Raw genomic sequence first — 17,556 nt, forward strand, 5'->3', positions numbered from 1 at the left:
GTGCGTTCCACATGGGACTCCTTCAGTCCTCAGCTGCCCTACGAGCTGTGGTTTTGCCTGAACACGGAAGGTGCAGCACAGCCTGTGAGCCATTGGCCAAAGGTGGCCTTCCCGTGGTGGCAGAGCTGAGACGTCCCCTGAGCAGCCTATCTGATGCCTGCACCTGCCTTCCCTGGGCCACGCTGCTGAGAAGGGCCTCAGTGGTGAGTGTGACTCCTTAGAGCTGGCAAGACCCAGGATACCGGCCCTGCATGCAGAGGCATGGGTGTTACACGGGGTACATGACTGGCCTGCGAGAGGCAGAGGGGAGTTCTGGTCCTGGCCTCTCTGGCTGTGTGTGTGGTGGCAGGCACCTCATCTCTTAATTACTTTTAATGCCATAGAAGGGAGGCCAGAGATAGAAGACATTATCAAACAAATATGGAAATCATTAAGTCCTGGCATCACAAACATTAAAATGCTATACATCTCATCTCATAGCTTGTAATGCCACATATTCTAGAAACAAACCTAAGGCAGTTTCTTCTAGGTTGAATTAGCTGGAAAGAATTAATTGAGTATATATTAATGTTCTTGACACTCTAAAGCGTGTATTCACATCTCAGGCTCATGTGGCTGGAGAAGCACATTCAGTGGCGTGGTGTAACTGCACGTATTTCACAGACACACCACTTATTTGTTATGTGAACTGCAGAGGGTGAGACTGTGGGACGCCCCGTGGGACATGCACCCTCCCTCCCGAGGCCAGCGGGAACAGCGAGAATCACCATCCCAGAAGGCAGAAGACATGGAGGATGGGTGACCGAAGAGAAAGCAGAATATGTCTTTAAGACCTTTGTGTTTGGAAATAACTTCACATGTAAAAGTTGTAAAAATAAAGGAGGACAGAGGGCACTGGGTGGATGGTGGGCGGCCTCCTCTTCACGGCGTCGCTCCTGGGTGGACGGTGGTGCCCTGCTCTTCACGGCGTCGCTCCCGGGCAGACAGTGGGTGCCCTCCTCTTCACGGGGTCGCTCCCGGGCGGACGGTGGGCGCCCTGCTCTTCAGGGCATTGCTCCCAGGCGGACGGTCGGCGCCATCCTGTTCACGGCGTCGCTCCCGGGCGGACGGTGGGCGCCCTCCTCTTCACGGTGTCGCTCCCGGGTGGACGGTGGGCGCCCTCCTCTTCACGGGGTTGCTCCCGGGCGGATGGTGGGCGCCCTCCTCTTCACGGTGTTGCTCCTGGAGCTCCGAGGCCCACATCCTCTCACTCCTGGTGTTCATTTTGGTTACACCTTGGAGGTGGTGGTCTTGCCGGCATATAATTACTATTCTTTGTCTCCCCTTGCAGCAAATATGCAGTGTGTGGGGAATAGTTTTAAACCACATGGTACCTTGTTCCCCATCAGAATTTCCCCCGGTTCAGCACCCATGGATGGCTCCTGCCCCATCCCATGTTTATGAGGCTACACGTAAACTGGAAGGGAGGAGCTGGCGTTAAATCCATCACCAGGAGGCGGCTGCAGCCCGAAAGGAGCATTTGTAGAGAGAAATTCCGGGGAGGTTAACAGCAGGATGGCAGGAGCTGAGATATTCACTGAAGGATTGGAATGTGAAGGCAAGAGAATGTCCCAGGAAGTAGAACAAAAACACAGAGAAACAGAAAACAGAAATGAGATGTTAAAAGAAAATGGGCTCCGTAGGTCCGACAGCTGAATAATAGAAGTTCCAGGAGAAGAGAACAGAGAAGAAGTATTTTGAACTTCCAAAAGTGGAAGGATATGAGTTTTTATTGTCAAAACTATATTACATAGTTTTAAAAGACAAGTCGGGGTAGGTTGGGTGTAGTGGCTCATGCCTGAAATCCCAGCACTTTAGGAGGCTGAGGCAGGAAGATTGCATGAGGCCAAGAGTTTGTGACCAGCCGGTAAAGACCCCATATCTTTAAAAAAAATTGTTTTTTAATTAGCTGGGCATGATGTTGTGTACCTGCAGTCCCAGCTACTCAGGAGGCTGATGTAGGAGGATTGCTTGAGCTGAGCCCAGGAGGTTGAGGCTGCAGTGAGCTATGATCGCACCATTGCACTCCAGCCTGGGCAACAGAGCAAGACCCTGTCTCATACAAAAAGTAGGTCCAAAGGCTTAAACAGTAATGCAGTCCTCCACTGCACAAATCCATCTATTTCTCTATTATTTGAATTTCTTCCAAAGAAAGTTAACAGGTGAATCTCTTTATTGATAAAAAGTAAAGTGTTTATCTGCTAAGAAACAAAGCAAGTGTGGAAACACCTTTTGGTTGGTAGAGAGGATTGACCCTTGAGTGTGAGGGGCAGAGGCAGGGGCGCAGGCGGAACATCCAGAGAGGAGCGAGACGTTAAATGATCACGGTGAGATGTGTATTCTGAGGGCTTGAGAAATGCCGGGTAGGGGTTCAGAGGAGAGCAGTATGTAAGCATGTGGAGTAAAGTTGTGCAGGGAGGGTTTGGACCGGAAGTTGAAACTGTTTGATCAGTGGAGAGGGAGATCCAGCAAGAACAGCCTCGATGGCAGCACGGGGCGTCCCCATTGCCCCATTGCTGTGGCAGCGTCGTTCTCCTGACGCTTGAGCTTGAACCCTCCCAGGCTCATCAACAAGCATCTCGTACGTTGCCAGCCATTTAATACTTGCCCTGTAACATTGTTGCTCCCGTTTGCAGGCTGGGCATGAGATTTCCAGGGCTTCGCTGGACATCTGTGGCTCAGTTTGGATCCTCCGGGATGGGCAGGGAGGAAACTGGCTGGAGGGCAGCGTGGGAGCCGTGCAACCCCCACTGGACCCCACCTGTGAGGTTCTGTGGTCAGGGGAACCCAGGGGGGTTCCAAGCCATGGTCATCGGAACCGAGGAACCCTGGTGGGTCCACCGCAGAGGGATTGCTCAGGAATGTTGCGCCAGAAGCAAGACACAGGCTGGACTGAGGCTGGGGCTAGCAGACTGGGGACAGTGCCCAGGCACAGATCCAAGCCCGGCCGCTCCCCTCCTCGGGCGCCCAGCCACGTTCATTTATTCCTCTCGGGCTCTGATCATTCCTACTGGATAGGAGTCCTCGCTGAGCCCCCATGGTATCTGGCACAGAGCGGACGTGTGTTCTGGGACTGTGTTTTAATTTGTGAGGGGGACACGCGGTCTTGCATTGGCGGGCGCGGGGGCTGGGGGGGCACTCCAAGGGCAGCCGGAGGGTTCATGGAAGGAGTCACGGTGTGCAGTTCGTGCTGGTGGAGAGTGGGGGGTCCAGGCGTGTGCAAGGTTTGAGCCCAGGTAGCCTAGCGTGAGTCACAGAGGCGCTGGGTGCCCTGCGTGAGGGTGACTGAGATACAGCCCCGGCGGCCTTGGGGAGCCGAGAATCACAAGAAAACAGCGGGGCTGGGAAGGAAGAAGAGGGCTGGTGGCACGAGGAGATGGATGCCAGGGGTCGGGGGTGGAAAGTGTTCGGGTGGGCGGGGCAGGGGGAGATGGAAAGTGTGCGGGTGGGCGGGGCCGGGGGGAGATGGAAAGTGTGCGGGTGGGCGGGGCCGGGGGAGGTGGAAAGTGTGCGGGTGGGCGGGGGCGGGGGCGGTGGAAAGTGCAGGTGGGCGGGGCCGGGGGAGGGCTTGAAAGTGTGCGGGTGGGCGGGGCCGCCGGCGTGGAAAGTGTTCGGGTAGGGGGGCGGGGGGGCGGAAAGTGTGTGGGTGGGCAGGGGTGGGTGGGTGGAACGTGTGCGGGTGGGCGGGGGCGGTGGAACGTGGGCAGGTGGGTGGGGGCGGGGGCGGTGGAACGTGTTCGGGTGGGTGGGGGCGGGGGGGCGGAAAGTGTGTGGGTGGGCAGGGGTGGGGGGTGGAAAGAGTGCGGGTGGACGGGGGCGGTGGGGCGGTTTGAGACCAGTGTTGTGGCGCAGCAGGCAAGGGATCCCCAAGCGGCCGTCAGAGTCCCTATGAGTTATCTTGTCGCCTCCATGCTCTTTAATCTCGTTAATGTCAGGACGTTTTTATCCTTTGCTTTCTGGAGGCAGTCACAGGTTGGTTGGGGCCAAAGATTACAAACAAGGATGTTTTATGAAGCTACTCAGCAGGTTGGGGAATAGCTGGGTTTGGCTGTAGGATAAGCGAGTTGTAGGCGTCCTGCCCACTGGTTCAAACATCAGTTCGAGAGCAGGGAGGGGCGGTAGAAATAACTGCAGAGCCCCCCGGGCAGCACCTTTGAAGGCTGTGATGTCAGCTCAATACATGTGCAAGGCCGTGTCCATAAAATCAGCCACAACAGGCCTGTGTATTTTTGTGGCTATGGCTTGTGTAGAGCTAGTAACGACGGTCACCATCTCAGAATACAGCAGCTGCCAGTGTCAGATTACTTCCCATAGGACGTCATCGCGAGGCAGCTTGTTTCTACTGCTGGACCCCTGCTTGGTATGAGTGTTATTCCTCCACTCTGTTCATGGGGCCACTGAGACCAAGAGCTTAGTGACTTGGTGAATGGCACGGCCATGGAGGACGCCAAGCTCTCCCGCCCGCACCCCGGTGATGTTATGGCTGAAACGTGTCTCCCAAAAAGTGTGTGATGGAGCCCAGCGCCTCCAGACATGACCTTATTTGGAAATAGAGTCTTGGGGGAAACCAAGTCGGCACATTTCTGTTAAGTCACCTGACTTACGGTGCTCGTTATGCAGCCGCAGCAGACTGCCGCGTTCCACAGGAACACTTCCCCAGCTCAGACTCACATTCGTCAGGGACCCTCTGTTCCCCTGGAGGGCGGAGCTGCACGGGAGGCATCAGGGAGGGTGAGGAAGAGGCGTGGCCGGGCCTGGGCCTCTGGACGCAGGGGACACACGCGGTCCAGGCCCTGAGTGGACAGAGAGGACGCTGGTGGGGTGTCGGGAACCCTAGCTGGGGCCGAGTTTCTTCAGCTGAAAATCAGTCACGTGTCTGACATCCACTGCATATGACGAGGCCACTGGCCACACGTAGCCTGTGAGCATGTGGTGTGTGGACAGTGTGACCGGGCACCCAGATTTCAGGTTTTAACTGATTTTCATTAATTAAAATTACATTGCTGGCCAGGCGTGATGGCTCATGCCTGTAATCCCAGCACTTTGGGAGGCCGAGGTGGGTGGATTGCTTGAGGTCAGGAATTTGAGACCAGCTTGGCCAATGTGGCAAAACCCAATCTCTACTAAAAATATAAAAATTAGCCAGGCGTGGTGGCAGGTGCCTGTAATCCCAGTGACTAGGGAGGCTGAGGCAGAAGAATCACTTGAACCCAGGAGGTGGAGGTTGCAGTGAGCTGGGATCGCACCACTGCACTCCAGCCTGGGCGATAGAACAAGACTGTCTCAAAAAAATTACATGGCTGCATGTGACGGCCCCAGTGGACGTGTGGTCACTGACCCGGGGGTGCTTCTTCTCCACGTTCTGTGATTCTGCTTTCCTCAGATGAGGAGGGCCCTGCTCAGGCTGATGCCACGGAGGGGTTAGAAATCAGTATTTCGGGAACACATGTCAGTGCTCGCAGCTGGCTGGGTGTGGACAGACACCTCGGGGTGACCGCTGAGTATATTTTGTGGCCCCAGCACCCGTGGCAGGCAGAACTCACGCCTCCTGATCTTTCTCAGCTGCTAAACGCTGCTGTAGAACAGGCAGGTTGTGTGGAATTGAACTTTTAAAAGTGCCTTTGGGCAATAAGGATAATTTCATTCTCCTCTGCGGCCTTCTGTAAATCCTTCAGAGAGGAAGAAATAAACCTATTATGGTCCTGCCTTCCTGCTCCAGCCAGAGCCGGTGCGGCAAGCGACGTGTGCTCAGCCTTCCAGAGGCCGTGGCTGGTCTGGATTTAATGCACTATCCTGCCTGTGACTGTGGCGGGTAGAATGCTGTCAACGTTAGGGGTGAGCGCCTTTTTCGAACACAGATTGTCTGCCTTTAGGAAAGTCACACGTGGATTCTACCCTGGAAGGTTGATGATTTGTCTTGGATCCTCAAGTATAAAGAGCTACCTGGCGGGTTCAAGGAAAGCTCTGTGGGAGCCGCAGGGTGGGCACTGTGTTTGTGGGACCATCCGACGAGATCCCAGGGTGCAGTGAGTGGCTCTGCTGGTCAGTGCTGCTAGGGGCTGTCTCCTGGGGAGAGTGAGAGGCTGGAAGGACCCCAGGGGTCAGGCGTACTTGGCTCCATGAGAATGGACAGTGCACAGCTGCCCCGGGAACCCCATGACTGGCTTGTGGGATCATTCGTCATACCATGCGTCTGAACTGGTGACTCTCAAGCGATTCCCCCCCCACAGCCCTTTTTCAAATCGAACAGAGACGGCATAAAACAGGCCCTGGCAGATGCAATTGTGTCATGCGTGAGGTCTGATTGCCTGAGTCCAGGGATGAGGTCTGAGGTTTGCAGTTCTGTGGAGTGAGGGCCCTGCCTGTCCCTGACCCTAAAGGAGTCCCACAGGCAGGATGTGGGCCTCCCGTGAGCACCTCCAGTGCTCTGGTTCTGTGTATCGTCAGAATCCAGGGTTTGGAGGGGTGGTCACGGGAGCTGCGGCATTTGAGGGGGGCGCCAGCTCCCATGGAGGTGACATTCTGGGCTGGTCCTGCTGTGGCAGACCATAGCTTGGGGTCCCAGCCCCACCCTCCCGCCCCCAAGCACGTGTCCTACTGACCTCACATGCATGTCTTGTGACCTCTCGCGGCCCTTTCCAATACTGTCGCCACTGCACGTGATAGAGACGTGGCTGAGACCATGAAAGGGCAGCGATGGTGATAGAGTCCCATGCTCTGATTTGATTGATTGAGACTTTATTCCCGCTTCTTCAAGACATGTCTGTGGAATGGGGTTGCCTGCACTTGCGTTAGTCTGGAGCTAACCGTCGGTGCTGGGGATGCCGGGGCAGGGCCCCAAGTTCCACTGTGGACGTGCGTGGGGCTTACCTATGGGCAGCCCCTCCTTAGGAGCAGCACCCAGCAGAGCAGCTTGTGATTTCAGCCGGGAGGAGACCGTGAGGGAAGAGATCCCTTAGGTGGTGTCTGCAGCTGACTAGGTCAGCGTTTCCACTCTGGCTGTTAATGGGACGTTGGCACAGAAAAGTATTTTGTGGGCAACTTAGTTTAGGGAAGGATGTGGCGGAGCCTCCCTGTGGAAACGTGTGTCTCTGATCTCCACGTGGGGTGTGGAGGCAGTAGCCTTTTCAGACCTGGTGGATCATTGAATCCCTCCTGAGGGGGTGGGTTCTGAGGCCTGGCCTTGATCCCTGAGGCCCTTTGGAAAGTGCTGGAAAAGGTGAGTGAATGGGCATGGCTGTGGAATGAGACAGAGGGCAGATCTGCGAGGAGCCCTCGAAGGCGTCAAACCCCGGGAGTTGAGTGTGTGTGTGTGTTCTTGCACTGTTGGGCATGGGGGCTAGGAGCTCATCAGGGAAACAGTGTCAGATACGACCCTAGAGGCTCAGACTGCACTGATGAAAAATACCGACAGCTTCCACGTGGCACGGGGCCAGCACCTGACCCCATGGTTATCACAAGGCTTAGCGCCTCCCTGCCCCGACTGTCTCACCGCGGTTTGTTCTCTGCCTCAGCCACACAGGCAGCTCTGTGCACATGAGAAGCATGTGATTGAACTTTTAATTCCACATTTTGCACAGCATTTGCTAGGTACTAAAACTCATTATTGTTTTATTTTCTGTCTCTGTTGATTTGCACAGAGTTGAAAATTGGTGATACTGTCTTGTTTTCAATTGATTATATTTGGGAGAGAATTGTTCTTTTTTCAATATAGAAGAATTGGCGGGGAGAGGGGGGATGGAGGAGAAGGGAGTGGTTATTCCAGATCATCTCTTGTGGTTTCATCCATTGCATTTATGAGAGCCTGCTCTATACTCAGCCAGACTGAAAGTCGATCGAGGGCAAACGTATGACTGGTGTTTCTTTGCAACAGCCTCTAATCACCCTCTCTCCTGGGTAAATTGCCCTAGAACAGGTAATAAGCAGAGACTTGTAGATGCTGTCTTCATGGAGGGTTGAGGAATGGCTGCAAGTTCATCGTGTGGAGTATTTAGGATAAAAGTTCAGCTTTTCCTCTAATTGAGTTTAGAAAAATAATCACACATTTCCCACAGACATCTCTTCAGCTGCACGTTACCGGAGTGTGTGCTTTGCAATTTGTTTTATGTTGCTGAATCTTGGGAAAGCCATTCTCTGTTATTTTCACCTCTCCTTCACTTACCAAATAAGATATTTTCTTCCCATTTTACTACTGAAGTATGAATGTAAATACAGCCCTTACTTTCACATTTTTCTTTGTGATTCACCCTTGATGGAAGCTCAGACTCTGGAAGACCCAGCACAATGTTCCAACAGCCCTCCATTTCCAGGCTCTAATTGCGCCTAATATTTTAAAAGCCATCACAAAAATTGGTGGGTCCATTTACCTTATTGTGGGAGCCCCTGGAGTACAGCTTTCAAGACCCTGATGGCCCATTAGGGGCATCCATTAAACCCGGCTGCATTCCCATTCCAGAAACGGCATAGATGATAATCACACTCACCTGATTAACCTTTTCAATGAAAAATGTGTGTCATCAAGATTTTTCTGTACCGTTTAATTTGTTAGGCCTTTCTGGGCACGCTGACTTTGTGCAACATTGAACTACCTTATTAGAAGAAACACTCGCAACAGTTAATGAGATGCCTTCCTCCACGCGAATGATAACAAATGTATTTTATTTATTTGTTTTAAAACAGGTTTTGCCTGGCATTCTGCAGAAGCATTGCTGTATCTTACCAGACAGGAATACAGGTAAATACATTTCATTCTTCTGATTTGGGATTATATGTTTCGTATCAGTGGCAAAAGTGAGAAATGTGATTACCTAATTTAGATATTTTGTGCATTTTTATTTTGTGGGTTGTTTTTAGTGCAAGATTGCGTATTAACTAACTGTAAGACCTGAAAGTAGGATATTTAGTTCTGTGGTGATTTATGAGCTGAGCCCAGAGATCTGTTTTTATTTGACAGAGGAAATAGTTTTATTAATAGATGATTGTTGTCCTGGGTTTTTAAGGGAAACTGGTTGTCTTATAAACTTGAGTTTGTTGGTTTCAAAGTTGTTTATTTTGCTAATTATACTTATTTACTAAAGAAAATCACCATTCTTATTGGCTAGAGAGAAATGTGTTTGGAATCTGTTTGCAGTCAAGGCCTTTCTTTGTGATCAGGGTGGGAATCGGCTAGATGTTATGTTCTGGAAACCCCCAAGGTCTCAGTGAATAAAACACTGGCATGAATGTTTTGAAGTGGGAGATGCATCTCTGTGTAATTTCTCATGGCAGGATGGGCGTGTGTGGCTGGTGGTTGTGAGGAAGTGTTTTGCCTGACCTTTAAGGAAACATGACGGAGAAAAAGAAGGTCTAAAAAAAACTTCGTTATCATTACAATTAAGGGGAAAAAAGAATCAGTCAGGGCTTGTTATCCTGTGGATATGGATCTGCATTTTTGTTTTCCTCCTGCAAGATTTCTGATTTATTTTTATCAAAGAAATTGCAAGTCCTGAGGAAAGTATGGAGAAGATGCCTCTTTCGTGTGAGGGGCTCTGCAAGCTGATTCATTTCTAAAAGCAATCGTGTGCTGTCAAGTATGTATTTGTGTCCCAGGATGTTTTAGTTGGGTATGAAACAGAGGTTTGCTGACATTTTCTTACTTGTTTTCTAGCTATAACAAGGTAATTACAAAGACTCTTCTATGGTAATTAGAAGAATTTAATTTGTTGGGATTTACTGTTGACTCACCACTAAGAATGATGGTATCTCAGTAGCCAACATTGTCTGTATTATACATTCCAGAGTAAAACACCAGGTGTATTGAGAAAAATACAATCTTTATTAATTACGAGCATGGATGGATGACATTACTGATAGAACTCTTCTTGAGAATGAGGAACTGTCCCTGTTTTGTTTTCTTTTACCCAGTCAAGTGTGTCTCAGCTACGAGTTTGAGCATATCTGCTTACAGGGAAGCTTGTTGAGTGTGTCAGATATTTTTGGGCCTCTTTTTATTTTCTGGAAGTCTTGGTTATGAGTAAAAATGTATGAAAAAGTCACATGTGTAAAAAAGATTTTTGCAACTGTGTCCATCAAAGTCAGCATCACACAATTTTTTAAAAGAAATTAATTTTCCTGATTCAGGTGAATCATTACTCTAAGAAACATCAGGAATAACGATAAAATAAGTTAAAAGCTAACTACTGTACTGCGGACATCACAGTGGGTATTAAGTATGGAAATGAATTTTCCTTGTCTTTTTTTTTTTTGACAGTTTGTTCTGTAAATGGTTTTAAGTTAATTTGGAAAACATTGCCAACTGAAGATGTTTTATTTACTTTTCATGAGACTCCAAGTAATCAATCTGTAGAACCAAGAGAGCTGCCTTCCACTGGGGCCTCAACGCAGAGGACATTAGCCGGGCAATTTCCTCAAAATTATTTTTATAGTATAGAATGTTTCACTGTCATGTCAGCTGTGGAAGACCATAGGCTTTAATATTCGGTGTGGATAAGGGAAGGAGTGGCTCCAGAGAAGAGAGAGGTGTTGGTTGAGATTATAACTCTTAAAAGTGTAAGTCCATGCAGAATGGAAAGATGGGGAGAATTCTAGCTTTTAGCAAATAGTTTGCTCCAGTATGTCCGAAGCTGCTTCATGATTTAGGAGATCTTGTTTGGAAATGTCTTCAGACCTCAACACAGCGGAGGTTCTTGGTGATTACTTTTGCATTTCAGTGGCATATAAAGGTCCTTGTAAGGGCGACTGTAATTTTCTTCTACCTCAATGGTTTTGTGGAAGAGTTTTCGCAGTTTCTCATTAAGGAGATTAACTTTGGAATGGGCACCAAGTTTCCGTTTTGGAAGACGAAACGAGTTCTGCAGATGGAGGGTGGGGACGGCTGCCCGGCCGTGAGAATGTAGCGAATGCTCCAAACTGGGCGCTTAGGCAGCATCACCATGGCGGATTCTGCATTACGGGTGCTTGACCACAATTAGAAAGAAGATTAACTTTGGGATGAATCATCACTTTTTTCTCGTTTGGTTTTTACTTATTTTAGAAATGCTTTATACTCCATTAACTTTATACATGTCATGTTTCTGAATTAAACATGGCTGCTTGTGAAAGATAAATATCCTATCGTTTTCTCTTGCAATTTTGATTATTTGTGATGATTTTAGGCAATGCTGTGAAGCGTCAGAGGGAATTCCGTTGGTTACTTTCCCATACGGTCTTGTTCAGCTGCTTGTTCTCAGAAAAGTGTGTTTGTTGGTGGAGGAGAATGCGACCAAGGAGACCATCCTTTTCATGAAGGCACAAACGTGAATACATATGTGACTTTTAAGCCTTTAAATAAAAACCCAAAGCACATTTATGCCTGTCTTTATTTCTAAGCATTCTTCCCTTTTCTTGCTTTGGTGACCCCTGATTGGCCTTTCACAGGCCTTTGGTTTGCAACCTACCTGGAGTGAGCGTTGAAGCCGAGATACACGGGAAGTTGGAGTGACTCAGGGAAGAGTGGACGTCTCAGGTGTCTGGATTTTTGCAGCTGCCTCTGGCTTGAATCCAGCACCATCTTTTACTAGGATTGGTGTCCTTGCAGGGGGTTCCGTCCTTAGCACCTTTTTTTTGGTTAGCGGGCTATAAAAAGGATCGCCAAGCAGAGCAGGCCTTGGGCGCGGTGTCCTGGATGCGCCACCACATTTGGGCTGAAGGCGGGCCCACTTGCTGCTGGACTTGGGCTGTCGAGTTTCTGGTGGAACTCAAGGCATCGTGCAGTTAAAATAGTCCCAGACGCCTGCCCATTCCTGCTTGGAGCTGGAATCCTCATTTAAGGAGTGACTTCTTCACAAACATCCTTTCATGACGAGTCGCTGTTTTCTGGGGCAAAGTGAACCCGTCTAAAGTTTTATAGCCAGGTGTTCCTCCTAGCAACAGAGACCTCTTACACTTGCTTTAGTATTTTTGACCCAACTGGAGGGGTGAGAACTTTGGCTCCATGGTGAAGAGATGACATGGCCTAAGCGGTGCGTTTTCCATTATGGATTCTGTTTCTTAGGATGCGTGTGTAATGTATGTTGGAAGGATGCTGGAGAATCTTGGAAGGATGCGTGTATATGTTGGAAGGACGCATGTATAACGTACATTGGGAGGATATGTGTATAACATATGTTGGAAAGATGCATGCATAATGTATGTTGGAAACATACTGGAGAATGTTGGAAGGATGGTTGTATAATGTATGTTGGAAGGATGCTGGAGAATGTTGGAAGGATGCTGGAGAACGTTGGAAGGATGTGTGTGTAATATATGTTGGAAAGACGTGTATAACATGTTGGAAGGATGCATGTATAACATATGTTGGAAGGATGTGTGTATAATGTATGTTGGAAGGATGCTGGAGAATGTTGGAAGGATGCATGTATAATGTATGTGGGAAGGATGCTGGAGAATGTTGGAAGGATGCGTATATAATGTATGTTGGAAGGATGTTGGAGAATGTTGGAAGGATGTGGGTATAATGTATGTTGGAAGGATGCTGGAGAATGTTGGAAGGATGCTGGAGAATGTTGGAAGGATATGTGTATAATGTATGTTGGAAGGATGCTGGAGAACACATCAGAAGCCACCTTCCATTGAATCCACATTTCCCTGACAGTGAGATCTAAGCAGGGAAAACTTTGGGAGCTGTTCAGTTCCTAGATGATCTGGCTTCCTTCCCTTGATTATTAATGACCTTCACTTCAGAATTGCAATGACATTTGGGAAAATTAAGTTACACAGTTGTAAGCATAATACATTCTTTTCTTTAGGCTGCACAATTGGCGGGGTTCTGACTTCGGGCTTAGCTGCCTCACACAGCCTTTATCCTGAGTTTTTCAGGAGACAGCCCATTCTACTGCCACGAATAATTAGAAGTTTCAAGAATGAATTGATTTTGCAATATGGCAGCAGTAATTACCCATGCAAACTTTGATAATAAGAAGTGAATAATGAAACCTCAAACAGATCAAGCATGCGGGAGTACTATGTTTGGTTTTTGAGATACATTATGTTTCTAATTGACAATGAATGTAAAATGACTGTGAAACAGGTTATGTATAAAAGTTGGGTGGAAAGGTTTCACGTGACTTCCCTGTGTTTGTGGAACTGACGGTTGCTTATTTGCAAATACGTAATGGAAACTCCTGACTCTGAAATCAGGTCCCCGCAGCAATGTGCTGGTCCGCGTTTATCAACTGACTTTCCGATGCTGAGTGAGAGGGTGGGTGGGGAGGCCTCGTTCTAGTGTTTGCCAATTTCTGTGGTCCAGTTTCAAGCTGCTGCCATGAAGTTCCTGGACATGGAGTTGTGAGTTCTTGGCAGCCACCAGTTGTCTCCAGCTCATTGGAGCCGGCTCCTGCTCCGTGGTGCCCGCCTTCCTCTCTGTGGAGCTGAGCCCCACACCACAGTGTCCATCTTCCTATCTGTGGAGCTGACCCCCGCACCGTGGTGCCCGCCTTCCTCTCTGTGGAGCTGACCCCTGCGCTATGGTGCCCACGTTCCTCTCTGTGGAGCTGACCCCTGCGCTATGGTGCCCACGTTCCTCTCTGTGGAGCCGGCTTCCCACACCACAGTGTCCATCTTCCTCTCTGTGGAGCTGACCCCCGCACCACGGTGCCCGCCTTCCTCTCTGTGGAGCTGGATCCCCGCACTGTGGTGCCCGCCTTCCTCTCTGTGTAACTTTCCTGTGGTCTTTCCCCTCAGTAGCTGCAGTTGCTGTGTGCTTTCTGCAGGGTGGCGAGTTGTTTAGTTGTGCATTGGCAAAATGAAATATTGGATTGAAATGTAACCTTTGTAACAGAGTGCTTCATTTTTAAAAATTTACATAGGTTGAGCAAATTTTTTTTGTGATTTATATTTGGATGTTGAGTATATTTGTATTACAAGGTAGGATTTTGGAAGCCTACAGGTTGGCAGACCTAATTATACTTTATTAATGTTTCTGCATGTAGAGCTGTTGAAACAGAGTAGCCACTGGAGCACTTTGGAGGTTTAGTTCAAAACGGCAGAGGGACACCATTGTTGAAATGTTAGGAAAGGTTCTGTTTGATAATTGTAAATCCCCTAGATTTCTTGGGAGCTAAAGGTTTTAAAGAGCTTTTAATTTCATGATGGACAAATAAAGGAAACTCAGTGGCCAAGTTTGCATTCTCTCCTACGGGCCTGTCTCAAAGGACAACAGTTTGCGATAGCTGCTGGCAGTGAGAGTTTGGCGTGAGCGTATATGTTGAAATGAGTCTTGACTCCATTAGTGTCACACCTCTGTGGCATAGGATTCCTAAAGCTATGTAGACAATGACATTGTTACTTTGAATGCTTATACTAATAGTAGATGTTACATGCCTTTTTATAATGCTTTCCAGTTTATAAGGTGCTTTCACATTCATCTTGACTAGTCCTGTAACTTTGCTGTGAGATAGAAAATGTGTGTGCATTTTGCAGAAGAGAAAACAGATCCAGAGGTACCTGTGACTTCATTGTCCCACAGCTGTGCCTCAGATACAGGTTTGCGCTAAGTCAGTATGTGATACTATATGACCCTGAATAAGTCCTGAATTATCCACATGTGACTTTCCGGTCTCATATGAGGCAGAACAGCACGGTGTGGACCGGGAACCCTGACGTGGGAGCCGAAAGATGGGGAGGCTGTGGGCACGGCCCCCGGAGCCCCGGGACTGAGACATGCAGGCACCTCAGACGGGTTTGCTGCCACAATAAGTGGGAAATCTCCACGTGTGGATTGGTTACCTGTTTTCAGGAGGCCAGGGAGTGGTATTTACACATACAAGATTAAATATGAGGTCTCATTTCTTTGAAAGATCAAATACTTCAAGTAAATTTCTTTTTACCCAGATACTAAAATTATTTATAATGCCTTTTCTCTTTCCAAAAAGCACTCAAGTTGTGCGAACAGAATTCCATACGATGTGATTCACGCAGTGAGAACAGCAAAAGCAAAGTCAGGGCTGAGCTGGAGGGAGGAAGCGAAGGCAGATGCCCCGGAGCCTCCCCCGTGACCCGCCTCTAATGACCCAGCGCCACCTTCCATGGGCTGGGGCGCTCTTTTCCTGCATCCTCTCTCTCTCTGCCCAGCTAAAGAGAAAAAAAGCCACGTTCCTCATATGCTTGAAAGGACTTCATTTCATAATCTGGAAATGCCTTTATTAGAAAATTGGTCATGCTATTTAATTCCTGCTAGAACAAGGGGGTGTGGATCAATAGTGTTGGGACCACAGGTCTTTTATTTCATGAGGCTTGCTTCTAGCATGGATGCTGTCTTTGTGCTGAGTGGAAAAATGTGACCCCCTGGGGAAAATGCAGCCTCTAAATGAAGCAGGGTCAGCCCCCATCCGTTCTGGGCCGGGCACTTCTGTGCAGAGCAAGGATTGCACGGTTATAGATGGTGGCCCTATTAACCCCAGAGCAGGTTAATGTACGTATTTATCTAGGTTTGTGGTTTACAGCCAATTTAATGTGGAGACATAAAGAAGTTTAATAGCTCAAGGCTGCATGTTCTGTGGATGCTTCTGTGCTGAGAGGGTTCATGACTAAACCTGGTGTGTGATACTCCTGTTTTAATGATATACCAGTGTAAATTCCTGGGACCTTTCTGTGTGGTGCAGATCTGTGGGGCTGGAAATAGACCTACAGTTACTTTTTGGGAGATTTTTGGCTTTGTCTGAGGATTCATCCTTGGGGGTGTCAGGAGGGTAGATTTCTGTCACATCTTCTGATTCTCCAAACCCCACTCTCCACCATCCTGTAACTTTGTGTGTAACTATCGACACAGGGCACACTGCCACAGGTTCCTGTGAGAGGGTCTACGCCAGGTCCTTAGAGAAGGATGGTTCGGGCAAAGCCTCCCATTGGGAGACTCTGAAATCTCTTCCTAAATTGAGAGAGAGCCCTGTCTTGAAGACGTCTTCTGCAACTCAGCCTGCATCTGTGTGGATGGTGCTGTGGTGCTGTGGCGTTGCCCTCCCTTGGGAGGAGGGAACATCTGTGAAACCCATCACTGGGCTGGGCGCGGTGGCTCACGCCTGTAATCCCAGCGCTTTGGGAGGCCGAGGTGGGTGGATCACAAGGTCAGGAGATCGGGACCGTCCTGGCTAACACGGTGAAACCCGGTCTCTACTAAAAATACAAAAAATTAGCTGGGCGTGGTGGCTGGCACCTGTAGTCCTAGCTACTCGGGAGGCTGAGGCAGGAGAATGGTGTGAGCCCAGGAGGCGGAGCTTGCAGTGAGCCGAGATCGCACCACTGCACTCCAGCCTGGGCGACAGAGCAAGACTCCATCTCTAAAAAAAAAAAAGAAACCCATCGCTGGAATGAGACTGTTGTCAGAGTCTCGGTGGCACCTGCCACAGCCGCCACCCACTCCCCTGGAATTCCCGAATCACACGGCTGGTCATGCGTTTGCCTTAGCTTTTGGAAAATGAAACAAATGTGTGGTCATTTGTTAAATCTCCCCATCTATTCATCTCTCTGTCCGTCCGTCAGTTCACCCGTCTGTCCATCTGTCCCAGGGCGTGGTTTCCGTGTGTGTTAACCATGAGTCCTCCTCATTGTAGACTCTCCCCACTCTCTTTTTTGTGTCCGTCCATCAGTTCACCCGTCCGTCCATCTGTCCCAGGGCATGGTTTCCGTGTGTGTTAACCATGAGTCCTCCTCATTGTACACTCTCCGCACTCTCTTTTTTCTGCCCGTCCGTCAGTTCACCCGTCCGTCCATCTGTCCCAGGGCGTGGTTTCTGTGTGTGTTAACCATGAGTCCTCCTCATTGTAGACTCTCTGCACTCTCTTTTTTCTGTCTGTCCGTCAGTTCACCCGTCCGTCCATCTGTCCCAGGGCGTGGTTTCCATCTGTGTTAACCATGAGTCCTCCTCACTGTAGACGCTCCGCACTCTCTTTTCCTATCCACCCCAGTTTTCCCACCCACGTATTTGTAGGTTACCTTAAAGTCTTTCCAGTGTAAGACAAGCTACATATATACATGAAATTGATGACAAAACCCAAGGTTGACACCAATGCTGATGTCACTCATGAAACCATCGGATTAAGAAAATGTGGCACATATGCACCATGGAATACTATGCAGCCATAAAAAATGATGAGTTCTTGTCCTTTTTAGGGACGTGGATGAAGCTGGAAACCATCATTCTCAGCAACTATTGCAAGGACAAAAAACCAAACACCACATGTTCTCACTGATAAGTGGGAATTGAACAATGAGAACAGTTGGACACAGGAAGGGGAACATCACACACCGGGGCCTGTTGAGGGATAGCATTAGGAGAAATACCTAATGTAAATGATGAGTTAATGGGTGCAGCACACCAACATGGCACATGTATACATATGTAACAAACCTGCACGTTGTGCACATGTACCCTAGAACTTAAAGTATAATAAAAAAAATTAAAGAAAATAAATTTAAAAAAAAGAAACTCAATCCAGGCTTCTCCAGTGTCAATGCAGAGGGGCACCCAAGTCACCCACTTGT

General features: G+C 48.8%; 1 protein-coding gene across 2 annotated transcripts in view, besides 5 other annotated features; it reads left to right on the forward strand.

The window, feature by feature from the left end:
- DLGAP2 (DLG associated protein 2) overlaps positions 1-17,556 on the forward strand; it is a 970,849-nt gene that overhangs the window by 161,566 nt on the left and 791,727 nt on the right. For both annotated transcript variants that reach the window (NR_073397.2, NM_001346810.2), the window contains one exon: positions 8,719-8,773. Coding sequence is in view for 1 of the 2 variants with exons in the window: in NM_001346810.2 (NP_001333739.1) it covers positions 8,719-8,773 (55 nt within the window). In the remaining variant the exon portion in view is untranslated. The remainder of the gene's footprint in view (positions 1-8,718; positions 8,774-17,556) is intronic.
- Positions 2,102-2,760: an enhancer, noted in NCBI's record as "H3K27ac-H3K4me1 hESC enhancer chr8:851295-851953 (GRCh37/hg19 assembly coordinates)". NCBI's record gives its function as "activates a minimal SCP1, AML or CMV promoter by ChIP-STARR-seq in primed H9 embryonic stem cells {active_cell/tissue: H9 hESC(primed)}" and the evidence as "EXISTENCE:reporter gene assay evidence [ECO:0000049][PMID:30033119]".
- Positions 2,761-3,418: an enhancer, noted in NCBI's record as "H3K27ac-H3K4me1 hESC enhancer chr8:851954-852611 (GRCh37/hg19 assembly coordinates)". NCBI's record gives its function as "activates a minimal SCP1, AML or CMV promoter by ChIP-STARR-seq in primed H9 embryonic stem cells {active_cell/tissue: H9 hESC(primed)}" and the evidence as "EXISTENCE:reporter gene assay evidence [ECO:0000049][PMID:30033119]".
- Positions 6,188-6,687: an enhancer, noted in NCBI's record as "H3K4me1 hESC enhancer chr8:855381-855880 (GRCh37/hg19 assembly coordinates)". NCBI's record gives its function as "activates a minimal SCP1, AML or CMV promoter by ChIP-STARR-seq in naive H9 embryonic stem cells {active_cell/tissue: H9 hESC(naive)}" and the evidence as "EXISTENCE:reporter gene assay evidence [ECO:0000049][PMID:30033119]".
- Positions 15,106-15,606: an enhancer, noted in NCBI's record as "H3K4me1 hESC enhancer chr8:864299-864799 (GRCh37/hg19 assembly coordinates)". NCBI's record gives its function as "activates a minimal SCP1, AML or CMV promoter by ChIP-STARR-seq in primed H9 embryonic stem cells {active_cell/tissue: H9 hESC(primed)}" and the evidence as "EXISTENCE:reporter gene assay evidence [ECO:0000049][PMID:30033119]".
- Positions 15,680-16,181: an enhancer, noted in NCBI's record as "H3K4me1 hESC enhancer chr8:864873-865374 (GRCh37/hg19 assembly coordinates)". NCBI's record gives its function as "activates a minimal SCP1, AML or CMV promoter by ChIP-STARR-seq in primed H9 embryonic stem cells {active_cell/tissue: H9 hESC(primed)}" and the evidence as "EXISTENCE:reporter gene assay evidence [ECO:0000049][PMID:30033119]".

This window comes from Homo sapiens, chromosome 8 (genome assembly GCF_000001405.40).
Source record: "Homo sapiens chromosome 8, GRCh38.p14 Primary Assembly".
NCBI lineage: Eukaryota > Metazoa > Chordata > Mammalia > Primates > Hominidae > Homo > Homo sapiens.